Raw genomic sequence first — 16019 nt, 5'->3', positions numbered from 1 at the left:
CAAATTGCGTTCCAAAAGAGGGTGAGAAGAATGAAATGCCATTCGCCCCCAGATGTTTCATCTCTCTCGCCAAACATCTGCGTGTTTGGAAGTGTCCAGATTTCTGTACTTTCTACTTTTCAAGTTAGCCTCATTGATATAAAAGCTAGACTGCAAAGCTTCATAATGGAGCGTGTAAGTGTGAATGTGTGTATGTGAATGTGTGCGTGTGTGCGTGTATAATAATTATAGGACATTTTCTAAATTAGGCAAGTCAGGGACTCTCTGTGCCAAATAGTAGTAGCAGCAGCAGCAGCAATTTTCTGTCCCCCTGGTTTTGTCTTCTGGGGCATCTTGACCAGGATTTGTTGCTGTTTCTGCCATTTCCAGGGCCGGGAAGAATTCCCAGGATGGGTTGCCCTGAGGACTCTGCACCTTTCTTGGGAAATCAAAAGAGGAAAGCAGGCATTTTTTGGAAGAAAGAGGCCAGATTTCTTTCTTTCTCTGTGTAAACTTCTGATTTTCAACTTTGCTTTCTGCAAGAGGCTCTGGTTTATGAATTACTTTCTATTTGGAAAAAAGTATTTAAAGATATTAGTATACAATTGAAAATGCAGGATATGCATCATAATTTTACGGTACAACTTTTATTCATTAAAGCTTTATTAATAAAAATGACTGTAAAACATTTAAAGTTATAATGTGTATAGAAATGTTAAATGATGTAATTAATTTTAACAACTGTATATATATTGAAATATTGAATGCTCAGAGATTTTTAAGGCAATTTTGGCATGGCTTTCAGATTGATTAAACCATTGAAATGCATGTCTTACAGACTTATTACAAGAAGGACAACATAAGCAGCTATCAATGTTCCAAAGATAAATCCCACTTTAGTGGTTAAAGAGATTGCTCAAGCTAAGCACTTCGTCTTCCTTATTGATGATGATTCCAGAAATACACCACTGCATTGTTGTATGTTACCCCAGTTAAAGCACATCCTCATTTTTAAACCATGTGTCATGGTGTGAAATAATAATTTGGATTTATAGTACTTTTCACCAAAGGCTCTTCATTAATAATGAGAGCCAGATCTCAAACACTCATACACTCATCTCAGAGGAGGGCAGCAAGAGTGTGGACACTTCCCCCAACTTACTTTTTGGCTTTGGTGGTGCAGAGAAGATTTTTGATTGTGATTTTGTGAAATGACTGCTCCTCTAAGGGATTATCTTAGGCAAATAGTATAAATTTATTCTGCATCCTGCAGGCCAACATCCCCCAGAAAAAGCACAGATCCCAAAGATTCACATGTGAAGCGTTTCAGTGGCTTTAAGCCATGAGGCTTCATTCTACCATTTGAGGAAAGAGATAGTCACAGACACCAGGGGAGTCTTGAATACCTTTTTTACAATTTCAGTAGCTTTGGGAGTACAAGTGGTTCTTGGTTACATGGATGAATTTTACAGTGGTGAATTCTGAGATTTTAGGGCACCCGTCACCCAAGTAGTGTATATTGCACCTAGTGTGTGTGTGTGTTGTGTGTGTGTGGTGTGTGTGTGTGTGGTGTGTGTGTGGTTGTGTGGTGTGTGTGTGTGGTGTGTGTGTGCGTGTGTGTGGTGTGGGTGTGTGGTTGTGTGGTGTGTGTGTATGGTGTGTGTGTGTGGTGTGTGTGTATGCGTGTGTGGTGTGTGTGTGTGGTGTATATGTGGTGTGTGTGTGTGTGTTTATCCCTAGGCCCACCTCTCACCCTCCCCTTTCTGAGTCTCTGAAGTCCATCATATCACTCTGTATGCCTTTGCGTACTCATAGCTTAGCTCCCACTTATGAGAACATACGGTTTTTGGCTTTCCACTGCTATGTTACTTCACTTAGAATCATAGCCTCCAGCTTCAACCAAGTTGCTGCAAAAGACATGATTTCATTCCTTCTAATGGCTTAGTAGTAGTCCATGGTGTATATATAGACCACATTTGGAAGAACTTTTTGTGGAGTTGCTGATCTATTATTTCTAGCTCAGTGAATGTGGAGGAGTGATACTCTCTGAACTCCTCATCTGGGTAACTAGAGCAGGGGGTAGATTGGGTGTTTTCGAGGTCCCATCAAGCTTAAAAAATTTCAGCTCTATTTGCCCAAGGTGGACTCTGTAAAGAAAAGAGGCTCCGTGGGATTCTGGACCCCTCAGTTGCAAAGTCCAAAGCCACAGAGCCCTGGGGTGTGCTGTGGGGCACTTGCCTCGGATGCCTACAAATGCACACCTTCACCTACACGTGCACCCCTGGCTGTGTGCTCCCTCACTCAGAAATAATTTCCAGTGGACTCTATTTCTTCTCAGGTGACAAGAAAGCACATCTGTCCATGCTGTAGAATTCTGGCCTGAAATTTACCAGCACAGCTCATTGACTCTAATGACCACGGGCTGTCCTTGCACAGCCTGCACAACGTGTGGAGGGTGAGCTTGCTGACCTTCAGATTCCACAAAACCTTTAGCCTTAATGCAAGAGCTTTCAGACTGCAGCAGTGCTCATTAAAACTCAGAGGAACTGTTTATATTTTCCTGTCTGAAACTGGAATCCTATCTGAGACATTCTTGACAGCCTCCTGTGGTTACACATGCTATTAGCAGTCTTCTTACTTCATAGTTACTGAATCTGATTCTTTGTATCTGAAGGATTCCAAAATACCTCATGAGCAGGATCTTCTGTTGGCTGGCTTACTGACATTCAGCTGCTTGGTGGGTACAGCCTGGGCAATTCTACAAACAGAGGCAAAGCAATTTTAGTTCTAGTCATTAGGTCGTTGGACAGAAAGTTCTACAAATTGTATTCATGAATGAGCCTCCAGGATATGCACCCAAAAGAGAAGATGAGGAAAAATGAGACACAAGCACATCATGCAATTCAAATAGCTGTTTCTACTGAGACATAGCATTCCAATAGACGCGTGAGCACCTGCTCTCATCTCAGGCTGAATGTTAAGAAATTGGTTCTCTCTTTGCTCATCTCCTCAGTCCCTGTATGTTTTGTCTTTACATCTCTACTACTGGTAAGCATTCAGATAGCACCAAGTAGGTGGGCATTGGGCAAATCTTCGAATCTATCATAAAAAATTTAATCCCCATTCTTGTCATCATCACCATCATCATCGTCATCATCATCATCTTATTCATAACCACAACATATGTTCTAGAAGTCCTAGGCACCAGGCCCTGGGCTGCATCCATTATTTTGAATCATTCAACCATCTGTAAAGAGTATCATTATCTTTATTTTTCACACAACACAAATGAGGCTTGAAGATTAAATGATTTGCCCAAGTCCACGTGGCCAATTGGTGCTAGAGCTGTGTACTTGTCTCCTGCTGTTCCCTTCTCAGTGACAGCCCCAGGCAGGGCAATTAAGATGGTGGTGACTCAACGGCAGGCCCCACCTCCTCTGCCACTACCAAAGGTGGTATCTGAAGGCTGCTTATGAACATCTGGAGTAATACTGGTATTTGGTTGCCAGTTACCCCGGTAGACTATTAGGAGAGTGAACTGCAAGTTAATTTATGAAAAAATGTAATAAGCCATATCATTTTATGCGATTAAAATGTATTGGCTCAGAAATCCTCCTCAGCCTGAAATCCAGTTCTTTGTGGTGGTCTGTGAAATATACAGTGTTGATCCAAATGGTTCCCACCTCACCGGATGTGCATGCCTGACTCACTATTGACTTAGACACATTTCTTACTGCCAATTTTATTGTGCATCTGTGGCTTAAATCTGAAGCTTTTTACCATTTCTGAGATATCCAAGTAGAGGGAGCAAAATCTTCTGATGATGGTAGATGCTATTGAAGAGGAGACTAGTGAATACGCTGTCCACATCTATTTGCGTTCGCGTTCTATGGTGGGCCCATGTTGCAACTCCCTCAGTCAGTTCACAGGCTTTGGTGGCATTGGTCTGAGATGTCCTCGGTGGAGTTTAGCATCACTAGTGAATAAAGATGTGGATGACTGGAAGGCAGAAGTCCTTGCCAGGTCTCCAAATGAGCACTGTGCCTACTCACACTTAGATGGTATGGTCTGCCACATTAATAGCGAGTGAGGCTTATCTCACTTACGCCACTCAAGGGCAGATAACAAACCATGTACACACAAGCCAAGCCTACCTGTAGGGGAGAAGCCTGCATTAGACTCCCACTCTCATCCCATGAGGACTTTTTTTACTAGAGGGACCAGAAGATATTTTACAAATGTGATTTTTTTTCTTCAATGATCTAGAATTGGGATCAGCAAACTTTTCTTTTTCCCTTTTGTTTGTGAAGGGCCAGATTGAAAATATGTGTTTGGCTTTGCGGGCCATATGGTTTCTGTAGCAACTACTCAACTAGCAACAGTGTTCAGATACCACCTTTGATAGTGGCAGTGGAGATGGGGCCTGCCATTGAGTCACCACCATCTTAACTGTTCTGTCTGGGGCTGTCACTGAGAAGGGCACAGCAGGAGACAACTTGCTGTTGTAGTGCAAAATCAGCCATCAACAATGCATAAATACATAAATGTGGCTGTTGCCAATAAAACTTTATTTACACTAACAAGCAGTGGGCCAGATTTGGCCTGCAGTCTGTAATTTACTGACTTCTGGTCTAGCATTCAAATAAATCCATCCCCCAAGGTAAACTTTACCCTGTTCCCCAGTATTACATGTTGGATTCTCTAGAAATCAGACTCTGAGGTGGAGATGAATGGGTAGGGCATTTACTGGGGAGTGTTCTGGGATATGACATCCAGGAAGGGAAGCAGGACTGGGCAGAGGGAGAAGGTGTTCTGCGGTGCAGTCATAAGCAAGGCCTCTGCCAGCCACTCAGGGAACTCTGAATCTGGGATGGCCCTTCAAGGTTATTCTGAGTTGCCATAAGGGCCTGGGCCCTTATATTCCCCAGGAAGATATGTGAACTTGGGTGAGGCAGCTCTCTTCAGTCAGCCAATTCCTATAGGGTGGATCGCCGCCGAGGGCACTCTTCCTACAGGACTTCCAGCAGCTGGGGGAAGAAGCTCTTCTTTCCTGAAGGGAGATCTGAGCAGTGTAATACAGTGTCCATCACACTGCTGAATGGCCATTCTGCCATTCAGTCTGCGTTTTCCGCTCTGTGACTCCATAATGCTCTGAAACAAGTCAAGGATCTTGCTAGGCTAGACCTGGGGCAGGGGGTGGTGGTGAGGGCTATAGACCTTAGCACCCGTATGAGGAGGCTAGTGCAGAATTCCACTCTCTCACTCTTGATGTTTGTTCATTCAGCAAATATATATTGGACAATTGTCCAGGAGTGGGGGCAGTGACTTGGAAAGGGTGGCAGGAGTGAAGGTATTGAGAAGTGGTCAGATTCTGGGGCTATGTGTTCAGGGTAGATCAACAAGGTTTGCCAATGGATCAGATGGTTTGGCAGTCCCACACTGACTCCAAGGGCCTGCCCATGTGCCTAACCCCTCCAGGTTTTCTGGAGCCGCCTCTACCCTGCAGAGCTTCCACCACTAGACGCAAAGCCTTTCTGCTGCTGGCTGGTGGACATTCACACCACAACTACCCAGTTCTTCCTAATGAATTGGGTGCATGGTTGAGAATCAGGTAAACAATCTTACGATGGTCTTTTCTTATCTTTAGGGAAGCCAGAAGAATTGAGCAGAATGAGTTTTTGTGTTTTGTTTCATTGTTAACAACAAGTAACCCAGAGAGTGTTAGAATCAGCTGATGAATGGACAAGAACTCAGCCCCTGGTATGTAGCAGCAGCCCTATGGCAGGCATGAGCAAACCACCAGGAGGCCGAGTCCAGCCTGCTGCCTGTTTTTGTAAATAGTTGTATTGAAAATAGCCATGCCAATTTAGTTATGCATTGTTCTGTGGCTGCTTTCATACTGCAACAGCAAAGTTGAGTAGTTGGGACAGAGACCTTATAGCTCACAAAGCCTAACATTTTTACTATCTGGGCCTTTTCTGAAGAAATGTGTGACCCCCCCTGCTCCAGGGCAGACCCTCTGGGTGACTTTGGGCAGGTCACTTGCCTGCGAGGTCTCTGTTTTTTCCATCTGTGGAATTAGAGAGGTGGACAAGATCATCTTGTGAATTCTGCTCTCCTTGTTTGTTAATTTATCCATTTTTGGGGCCTATGGTTTTCTGCAACAGGAGCTGTCAGACAAGCCAGCTTCTCTGGTCGATTCTTAGAACGTGGTGAAGAAGCGATGCTCAGAGTCAAAGGGAAGAGCTGTCAGCCTCCTTGCGTTGTTTGCTCTTCACCTTTTCTGACCAATACCATCCCGTCTCGCTCTGACTCTCTTCCTGTCCCGGAAGAGCTTTCAGCCTCCCTGCGTTGTTTACTCTTCACCTTTTCTGACCAATACCATCCTGTCTCGCTCTGACTCTCTTCCTGTCCCAGAAGAGCAGGTGCCCACTGCAATTCAACCTTGGCCTCCAGCTTGCCTGCCACCTTTCCCATCAGCAGCAAGAACAGGTGCTCCTGTGCTGGTCATTTTGATTCAATAAGCAGGGCCCTGGCACCTCCTGCTGGCACCGCAACAGCCTCCCCTCACTCACTTGACATTGATCGTGTCAGCTGTGGTACCAGACACTGGGCTCTTCTCTGGTTCTGCGATGGTGACACATAACTCAGACCTGGTCTCCTTGCTATGCAGGTAGCAGCCTTTTAATATGATGCATTTGCTATTTTGTAGAGGTCATTGTTATACTTGCACACTGCACATTCCTGGACGGCAGGATTCAACTGAGTCATTGGCATTGACCTCATCTTACCCAGTAGGGAGCCAGGGAGCAATGGCTCACAGAGTGGGTGCCCTCGACCTGTGGGCTGGGTGGAGGACAGGTTACGTTGATGACCCAACAAAGCCCATGCTTATGTCACGATCCCTTAAGTGCTTGATGTGTTTCCTTCCTCAAACTACCTTTCCCCATCCCCATATTCAAAACCTCTCTGGCAAGGAAAGGGTGAGGAGCGATGAAAGACTCACCGCCAAGAGGTAGGTTGTGAAAAGTAAAGTTAAAACTAGAATCCCCACTTGGTTTAAAATTGAAGTGGAGGGTGGCGGGGGAAATGTCTCAAAATATTGTTTCCCTTTAGGAACTCGGTAAGAATAATCAAGTATTGTCAAGGAACAACTTTATTGTCCTTCATGTGGTCAAATGTAATGTTAAAGAAGAGAAAATATATAAGCAATGTTGCAAAAATATTTTGAAGGTTTCTAAGAATGTTTTATTTATCTCTTGATAAGTCTTGATGAGATTGTGTCATTTTCCTCCTCATCATAAACACGGTTTCCAGATCATTCCCAAGAGTCCATATGGTATCTAAAGGTTGCTCATGTCAGCCATCCCGGCTAGCTTCGTGGAGAGAATGGCTTTGTTTTTTGTTTTTTCTCTGAGTAACTCTTTCAGTTATATGAATAGGGGGTGTCCCTACACTGTTTAGGAGAGAGTCATTATTAATGGGCCATTTACTCAGGTTTGCCAGGAATAGATTAAAAGAAATGGATTCAAAGCCTGAAGCAGGCTGACCAGGTAATGGGCTGATCTTTTAAATTAGGGATATTGCAGAGCAACTGTCTATACATGAGTAACAGTGGGTAACAGGGTAACCTAGAAGAAGCACCACGGGCTTGGGAATGGGGCCCATCTGAGGCTCCATTTATACTCCACCAGTTGCTTGCTTGTCCTTTACAAGGTAATTTACGTAAAGAGTGCCGAGCAGTTGGGCTCATGGTGGGGACTCAAACCATTTTGTAATTATCATTAGTCTTCAGTATCATCCAAGCTGTCCACAGGAAGTGAATTTAGAAGGGATCTTGGAAAAAGGCAGTGGTAGTAGCATGATGAGTTCTGAAAGAAAAAGTATTCTAGATACAGATGACCCTGGAAAATAGAGCAAAAAATGTGAGAAATAGATGATGTGTTTCATTCCTTTGACTTGGTGAGTTTTTCTCTTTTCCTAATAATCTTAAAGCAAAGTCCATATCTTTCTGTAAAATGTGATTTTCTTTTCATCAATAATAGCTAATTTTGGTGAACAAAGAAATAAAGATGGTAAAGCCAGCCCATTAATTCTTCTTAAACGATGTTGTCAAAGTAGTTTGTTGTTCAATGCAGAAATATTTTTCATACTGCTATCAGATGTTCTTTTATTTCCCCTGCTAGGTCATAGCCCCATGAGGGCATTACTGCAAACAAAGTACTGCAGTCTATGTTTGGAGCATTCTATTGACCTTAGGTGGTACAAGGGTTTTATCAGAGAGTGTGAAAAAGATGTTCTTAACCAGAGAGGTGCATCAGACATGGGTGGGGTACGTTTTCAAAACACACTCACTCCTGGCTTCAGGTGATCCACCCGTCTCGGCCTCCCAAAGTGCCAGGATTACAGGTGTGAGCCACTGCACCCAACCAAAACACACTCATCCAATGCTGCAGTGAACATGTCTCAGTCAGTGCCTCCCTGGTTAAGAGCTCTGTTTGGGGGATAAATTAGGATTAAATTAGGACACTGCAGAGCACCGTCTATACATGAGTAACTGTGAGTGTCAGGGTAACCTAGCAGAAGCACCATGGGCTTGGGAATGAGGCCCATCTGAGAACATCTGATAGCAACATGAAAAATATTCCTGCATTTAACAACAAACTACTTTGACAACATAGTTTAAGCAGGTCCATTCTACAGTGTATTTTCTCAGCTATTCATGGGTAATGGGGAGATTCTTCAGCGTTAAGGTCCCTATGAGGGCCTGAAGGGCAGGTGCACAGGACAGGTGTCCTCTTTGCAGGGAACACAACCTTTGTCACTTAAGATTAGAAGCTGTTCCTCAAATGCCTACTCTTGCCTAATCCAGTTCTTGAAATAAATGCCCTTGTAGGAACCGCGAAAGTCATACAGATGAGAAGTATATAAACTGGTCCATTATATGGCTGTTGTCTATAGAATCGGAAGTTAAAGTTTTTCTTAACCATTTCCTCAGTTGAGTGAAACATTTGCATGCAAGGACCGCATCATGGCGGTCTCTTGCAGAACTATGCTGGTTTTCTGTGTGCTTTGGTGTGGTGCAGAGCCTGCACTGAGCCTGTGTCTCATTCATGTCATTAGACAATGCTATTCATGTGCGCCCCACAGGAAAAAAAATCTAAATTCTTTCTTTTTTCCAGAGTCGTGCATCCTCTGAACAACTCTAGTTTTTCTTTCTCAGAGCATTTGACCCATGGGGCAACAAATGTGCACTTCGTTGTGTGTTAAAATTCAGAGTCAACCTTGAGGCCCATATCTTGCAAATATGTGAGCTCTCACAGTGATATTTGGTGTGCAAACCTCACTCCTGGCTTTGTCCTACCTTTCCCATTTATAAATACATAAGTTTGATGAAATAAAGGGAAATTTATGCAGTTTTACTTAAAATCTACTCAATCTTCAGGTGGGATGTGAAAGTCTTTGGTGTATATTCAGCAGATGAACGGCCCTGGTGTTTTAAGAAAATAGAGGCTTATCCATTTCTGCATATAGGTGGGTCGTATTTAGGCATTTTTGATCTGATGGCCTCTGTAGGTAGTGAACAAATGACTTTGAGTTTCTCTGACATCCTCTCCTGAACCTTCATAAATATCCTTGTGCATGTAAGAGCACGTGGACCACTGCAGTTCCGAAATTAGAGCCAAAAAAGCTGTGAACAGTGGAGCATCAGACCCCAGCCAGCGGAGCTGGGGAGGGGTGGTCCATTGAATGTCACAGTGTTGTACATTTGGAAGATATAGCATGCTAGACATCAGGGAGAATTTACGCTGATGGAATTCACTGTCAAAACCCTCATGAACTTTGTGGCCTCAAAGCCTACCATGGCTGTTGGCGCAGCTGGTAACTGGTTTCTTTCCAGGTCTAGCATCATTCACTGAAATGTTGCTTAGAAAGGAATTTAAATGGAATCAGTTTCTTCTTCATTTCATTTGATTTTCTAGGGCTTCATTTTTTCTTATTGAAAAAGCAAAACACAGCCAGGCTTGGCTGCTCACTCCTGTAATCCCAGCACTTTGTGAGGCCGAGGTGGGCGATCACCTGCGGTCAGAAGTTCGAGACCAGCCTGGACAACATGGCAAAACTCCTTCTCTACTAAAAATACAAAAACTAGGCGTGGTGGCAGGCACCTGTAATCCCAGCTACTTGCGAGACTTAGGCAGATGAATCACATGAACCTGGGAGGCAGAGGTTGCAGTGAGCTGAGGTCATGCCACTGCACTCTAGCCTAGGCGACAGAGCGAGACCCTGTCTCAAAAAAAAAAAAAAGGAAAACATGTTTATTATAAAACTTAAAATATAAATAAGCAAAAAGAGGAAAGTGGAAAATCAACCATAATCCTACTGCCCAGAGAGAACATCATGGTTAACATTTCAGTAGATTGTCCCAGACAGATTACTTGGAATCTCTCATAAATGCAACAAGCTTTTCTTTTTCTTTGTTTTGTTTCATTTCCTTTTTTTTTTTTTCAACAAAAAAGAGGGATTATGCAAAATACATACTGTTTTGGAAGGCTTACTTTTCTCAACAATGGATTTTGAAGTTCCAGTACCTGTCGAACGAACTTCCTGTTAATCGTTTAATGGCTACGTGAGCTTCCATTGTATAACTTTATTTAAACTGCTTTTTAAAAACCTTATTAAATAGATTGTTTCCATTTTACATTTTTATAGCAATGTGTTGATAAATGTCCTTAGAGAAAAATGTGAGCATTTTATGTGATTTTCTGAAGCCAGATTTCTAGAACTTCTGGTCAAAGAATAGGCACAAATTTAAGACTTTTTAATCTAGATTTCCAAATAACACTCCAAGTTGCACTATCTGTACATACATATCAGCTTTCTTAAACATGCACAAGTATTGGATATTGTCATTACAAAAAACTCCATGCCATTTTGATGTGTGAAAAATGATACTTATGATTTATTAATTTGCATCTTTTCAGAAAGATATTGAATGTTCTCATATGTTTGTTGTACATCTGTATTTCATCTTTTGTAGGTCACCTCTATTTTCTTCAGTTTTCTTCAGAGTTCTCATATTTTGCACTTGTATTTATGCTGAAAATAACCTGTATTTTACTTTTTAATGTTGTCTGTGGTAATTTTTAAAACTTTGAATTTTGAAATAATTTTGTATTAACAAGAGTTACAGAGATAGTAGAAAGCATTCCCATGCATACATCCTTCACTGAGCTTCCCCTTAACATTTACATCTTACATAACCACAGTACATCTATCTGAGACAGAGTTTCTTGACCTGGGTGCTATTCACATTGTGGGCTGGATAAGTCTTCATTATGGGCGGCTGTCCTTTTCACTGAAGGATGCTTGGCAACATCCCTGGCCTCTACCATTAGATGCTGGTAGAGCCTCCCCTTCTCCCCCTAGCACACAACCAAAAATGTCTCCAGGCACTGGCAAATGTTCCCCAGGGAGCAAAATTGGTCCCAAATGAGAACAATTGACTTATAAACTAAGCAATTAATATTGGTACACTACTGTTATCTAAACTACAGACTTTATTCAGATTCTATCAGTTTTTCTTCTAATGTCCTTTTTCTGTTCCAGGATCCGATCCAGGATGCCATCTTGCATTTAGGCATCATATCTGTTTCTGGTAATTTTTCACATTCAGATTTCTTCTTCATCTTTTCCCCTTTGTCTTTTCACAGACAGGCTTAGAAAGGACTTCTGTAACCTGCATACCTGTCTTGTACTTTTATTTAAATCTGTAGTCCTTCTGGATGTGTTTCCTGTACAGTGTAAGTTTGGAATCTGCTTTTCCTAAATGATTTGCCAGTTGTCCACAGACCATGGATGAGATAATTTGTTATTTTTCTACCGGTTGGAAATGCCAATCACACATTTAATTCTGGTTTATATCTTGTTTATGCAAGGATTTCCCTGACTTATACAATTGTTTCCTTCTAGAAATTCTCACGCAACTTGAATATTGTGTGAATCACAAAAGCTCCTCTGTTTCCGTCTGCGGATTTGAAGGATGAGGAATCTTTCAGATGCTCCTAAGTGTGAATGGTTAGCATTTCACGTACTTCATTACTGCAGGAGTTAGGGAGTGAGAGAATCCCGATGCCATCATACTTTTTCCAAATTTTAATTTTATATTTTAAAAAAGACCCGGTTCTGTACTCTGTTGTTTGTTTTTTTTCCTTTTACATTGGCTATTTGGAGACATAATATACTTATATTAAAGTGCACACATTTTATGTATATACCTATGTAACTAACCACAATTAGATATAGATGATTTCTGTCACCTTAAAAAGGTTTAATCTTTTTGCATTCAATCTTCCTTCACCCCCAGTCCTGGGAAACCACTGATCTTTCTGTCACTATTCTAGAATCTATATAAATTGAAGCAAATTGAGCATACTCTTTTGTGTATGATTTCTTTCACTCAGGCTAATGCTTTTGAAATTCTTCCATGTCATTGCATGAATCTTTAATTTCTATCAGCAAAGTCTTGTAGTTTTCATTATAGAGATCATTTACATATTTTGCAAAATTTATCCTTACCTATTTTATATTCTGAATGCTAGTATAAATGACTGATACAGATTTTTAAAAATTTCCTTTCCAGCTTTTCTGCTTACTTACGGAGATATATCATTTCTGTATGGGAACTGAATCCTGCAGCTTTTGCTACATGCACTTAGTAGTGTTTTTGTAGATTCCTTAGGATTTTCTATGTAATAATATTATATAGGAACAATTTTTTTACGTACTTTTTCCCATTTTGATGACTTCTATTTTATTCTTGCCTTATTGCTCTAGGTAAGGCTTTTCGTACAATGTTGAGTAGAAGTGATGGGAGGGAACATCCTCGCCTTTATCCTTTGTTAGCTGTGGGGATTTTCAAAAATAGAGATATATAGATTCTCTCTATATCTATTTAGAGAGAATTTACCAGGTTGAGGAAGTTTCCTTTTATGCCTAGTTCTTTCTTCTTTTTTTAAATTTTGATAAAATACACATAATATAAAGTTTACCATTTTAACAAGTTGTAAGCGTACAGTTCTGTGGCATTAAGTACATTCATACTGTTTTGCAACCATCATCACCATCCATCTCCAGAACTCTTTTCATCTTGTAAACTCCACATACCCATTAAACGCTATATACCCATTCCCTGGAAGCCACCACCCATACATCCATTAAACACTAACTCCCCATTAAACACTAACTCCCCATTAAACACTAACTTCCCATTAGACACTAACTCCCCATTAAACACTAACTCCCCATTCTCTGGAAGCCATGACCACTCTGCTTTCTGTCTGTGAATGTGACCACTCTAGGTATGTCATATAAGTGAAATCGTACAATATCTGTTCTTTTGTGATTGGCTTATTTTACTTAATGTCCTCAGGGTTCATTTATGCCGTTGCATGCGTTAGAATTTCTTTCCTGTTAAGGTTGATATTCTAATTGTATTCTAACTGCATGTGTATATTCTAATTATATGTATATATAATATACATATAATTAAATAATTATATACATATATATTATATATTATATATTATTATTATATTATATATTATATATTATATAACATAATATATAATATATATTATATATTATATATTATATATAATATATATAATATATAATATATATTATATATATATTATATGTATATATACACACACACAGATATGTGGCATATATTCCCCTCTTTAGCCTCCAATTGTATGCATGTATATGTATTAAAGGGCTAATATTCTATGTATGTATGTACCACATTTTGTTTACCCGTTCATCTGTTGATGGACACTTGGGTTGCTACCACCTTTTGACTAGTATGAATAATGTTATTAATATGCTGCACAAGGGATATGCAAGTACATCTTTAAGTCTCTGCTTTCAATTCTTTGGGGTATATGCCCCAATGTGGAATTACTGGATCATATGAAAATTCTATTTTTGATATTTTGAGGAACTGTTATTCTGTTTTCCATAGTGGTTGCTCCATTTGGCATCCCCACCAGCAATGCACAAGGGTTCTAATTTCTCCACAACTTCACCAACACTCGTCGTGCTCTGTTTTTTCAATTAATATCCATCCTGATAGGTGGGAAGTGTTATCTCATTGTGGTTTTGATTTGCAGTTTCCTAGTGATTTCCTAGTAATAACTGAACATCTTTCCATGTTTTTGTTGGTCATTTGTATATTTTCTTTGAAGCAACAATTATTCAAGTCCTTTGCCCATTTTTATTCAGGTTTTTTGGGGTGTTTTTAATCGTTGTTGTTTCTATTCCTAATTTGAGAACTTTTTTATGCATTGGTGTTGAATACTGACAAGTGCTTTTTATGCACCTGTAGAATAATAATGGGATTTTCTTTCTTCATTTTATAAATATGGGGAATTACATTGATTTTTTCATATGTTACATTAACTATTTCCAGGATAACTATTTGGTCATGATCCATTATACTTTTAAAAAATAAATATATTGCCGGATTCTATTTGCTAATATTTTGGGGGATTTTTTTTATTTATGTTTGTGAGGAATATTGGTATGTTGTTTTCTTTTTAAAAATATTTTTGATTTTGGTATCAGGAAAAAGGTTTATACAATGAACTGGGAAACGTTCTCTCCTCCTCTGTTTCCGAAGGAGATTTTAGAGGATTGGAACTATTTCTTCTGTAAGTGTTTGGTAGAAATCACCCATGAAGTCATCTGGCCTGAAGTTTTCTCTGTGGGAAAGGTTTTAATTATGAATTCAATTTTTTATTTGCTGTATGACTAGTCAGGTTTCTACTTCTTAAGTGTTTGGGCAATTTGTGTCTTTCAAGGAATTTGCCATCTCATATAAGTCTGTTTTGGCAATCTTCTGTGTCTTTCAAGGGATTTGCCATTTTATCAAAGTTATTTAAATTATTGGCATAAAGTTCATAGTGTTTTTCTATTATCCTAAGATCTTCAGTGATGTCCTCTAATCTATTCCTGATAATGATAGTTTTGTCTTTTCTTTTGCCCTTATCAGTCCAGCTACAGGTTTGTCCATTTTATTGATTTTTTCCCCAAATATCCAGGTTTTATTTTATTGATTTTCTCTATTGTTTGTCAATTTTCTTTTATATTGATTTCTGCTTTTAGCTTTCTTATTTCTATTTGTTTATTTATTTTGTCCTGTATTTGTTCCTCTTATTTTTTGTAGATTCTTAAAAAGCTTAGATCAAATGCTTATATCAAACATTTTCATACACTAATTTGAAGCTATAATTTCCTTCTAATTTTGGTATGTATTGTTTTCATTTTTATTCATCTCAAAATATTTTCTGCATATACTCATAAATATCCCCTTTGTTTTAATTATGTCTTCATCATGAACTTTAATATCCTTTAGGGCAAGATGCTGATTACTACATTTTTGCAAAACTTTGCTAGTTATTATCATACATTTGTAGAAAATTTAGGCCATTTACATTTATTTTGATAACTGATATGTGTTGATTTATTTCTACCCTATTATTTAGGTTTTTCTATTTGTCTTACCTCTTTTTCTTTTGATCCTTCCTTGTATCGAATTAATTTTTTTCTCATTCCACTTTTTGTCTGTGATAGTTGGGAGTTATACTCTTTATTTCTATTATTTTAGTGACCAGCTAAAAATTGTAACGTGAACTCATCAAGGCCAAAATTTAATCAATATTTTTACTTATCTCTGGAGCAAGTTAGAATCTTAGAATACTTTACTTCTCATCATCCCCTCAAACAGAGATACTACTGCTATTATATGTTTTAGTTGTATCTTGTTTTGCTTTTTGATTCTCACAAATTGGACTTTCCTTTTATATTATACAATATTTAGATTTACCTTATGTTTACCATTGCCTTTGCTTCTCTTTCCCTTGTGCACGCAGATCTTATCAATTTTTACCTTCCTAAAGTACATATTTTACATGTTCCTTTTGGTGGTGCATCAAAGTGGAGGGACTTTTGGTGGTAAATTATTTCCGATGGCTTGG

At 39.6% G+C, this 16019-nt stretch overlaps 1 protein-coding gene and 1 long non-coding RNA gene across 18 annotated transcripts in view; one reads left to right on the top strand and one right to left on the bottom strand.

Moving 5' to 3' along the window:
- Positions 1–16019, top strand: part of C10orf90 (chromosome 10 open reading frame 90) — a 245697-nt gene that overhangs the window by 167042 nt on the left and 62636 nt on the right. The window contains exon 5 of one of the 16 annotated variants that reach the window (NM_001350923.2): positions 370–807. The exons of 14 other annotated variants lie outside the window; for them this stretch is intronic. In NM_001350923.2, coding sequence (NP_001337852.1) covers positions 370–491 — 122 coding nt within the window. In that variant the 3' untranslated portion in view covers positions 492–807. Of the gene's footprint in view, positions 1–369; positions 808–4452; positions 6995–16019 lie in introns of those variants that run through there. One more of the 16 variants, XM_047424564.1, reaches the window with a different exon arrangement.
- Positions 467–6641, bottom strand: LOC105378549 (uncharacterized). Of its 2 annotated transcripts, none has more exons than XR_001747637.3 (3): positions 6555–6641; positions 2667–2737; positions 467–546 (listed from the first exon to the last, which is right to left on the bottom strand). It is a non-coding gene; the product is annotated as an uncharacterized LOC105378549 (long non-coding RNA). The 2 variants fall into 2 exon arrangements; XR_001747636.2 differs by lacking the exon at positions 6555–6641 and adding an exon at positions 3760–3955.

Source organism: Homo sapiens, chromosome 10 (assembly GCF_000001405.40).
Source record: "Homo sapiens chromosome 10, GRCh38.p14 Primary Assembly".
NCBI lineage: Eukaryota > Metazoa > Chordata > Mammalia > Primates > Hominidae > Homo > Homo sapiens.
Note: the sequence above shows the minus strand (reverse complement) of the source record. Positions and strands in the feature narration are given on the sequence as shown.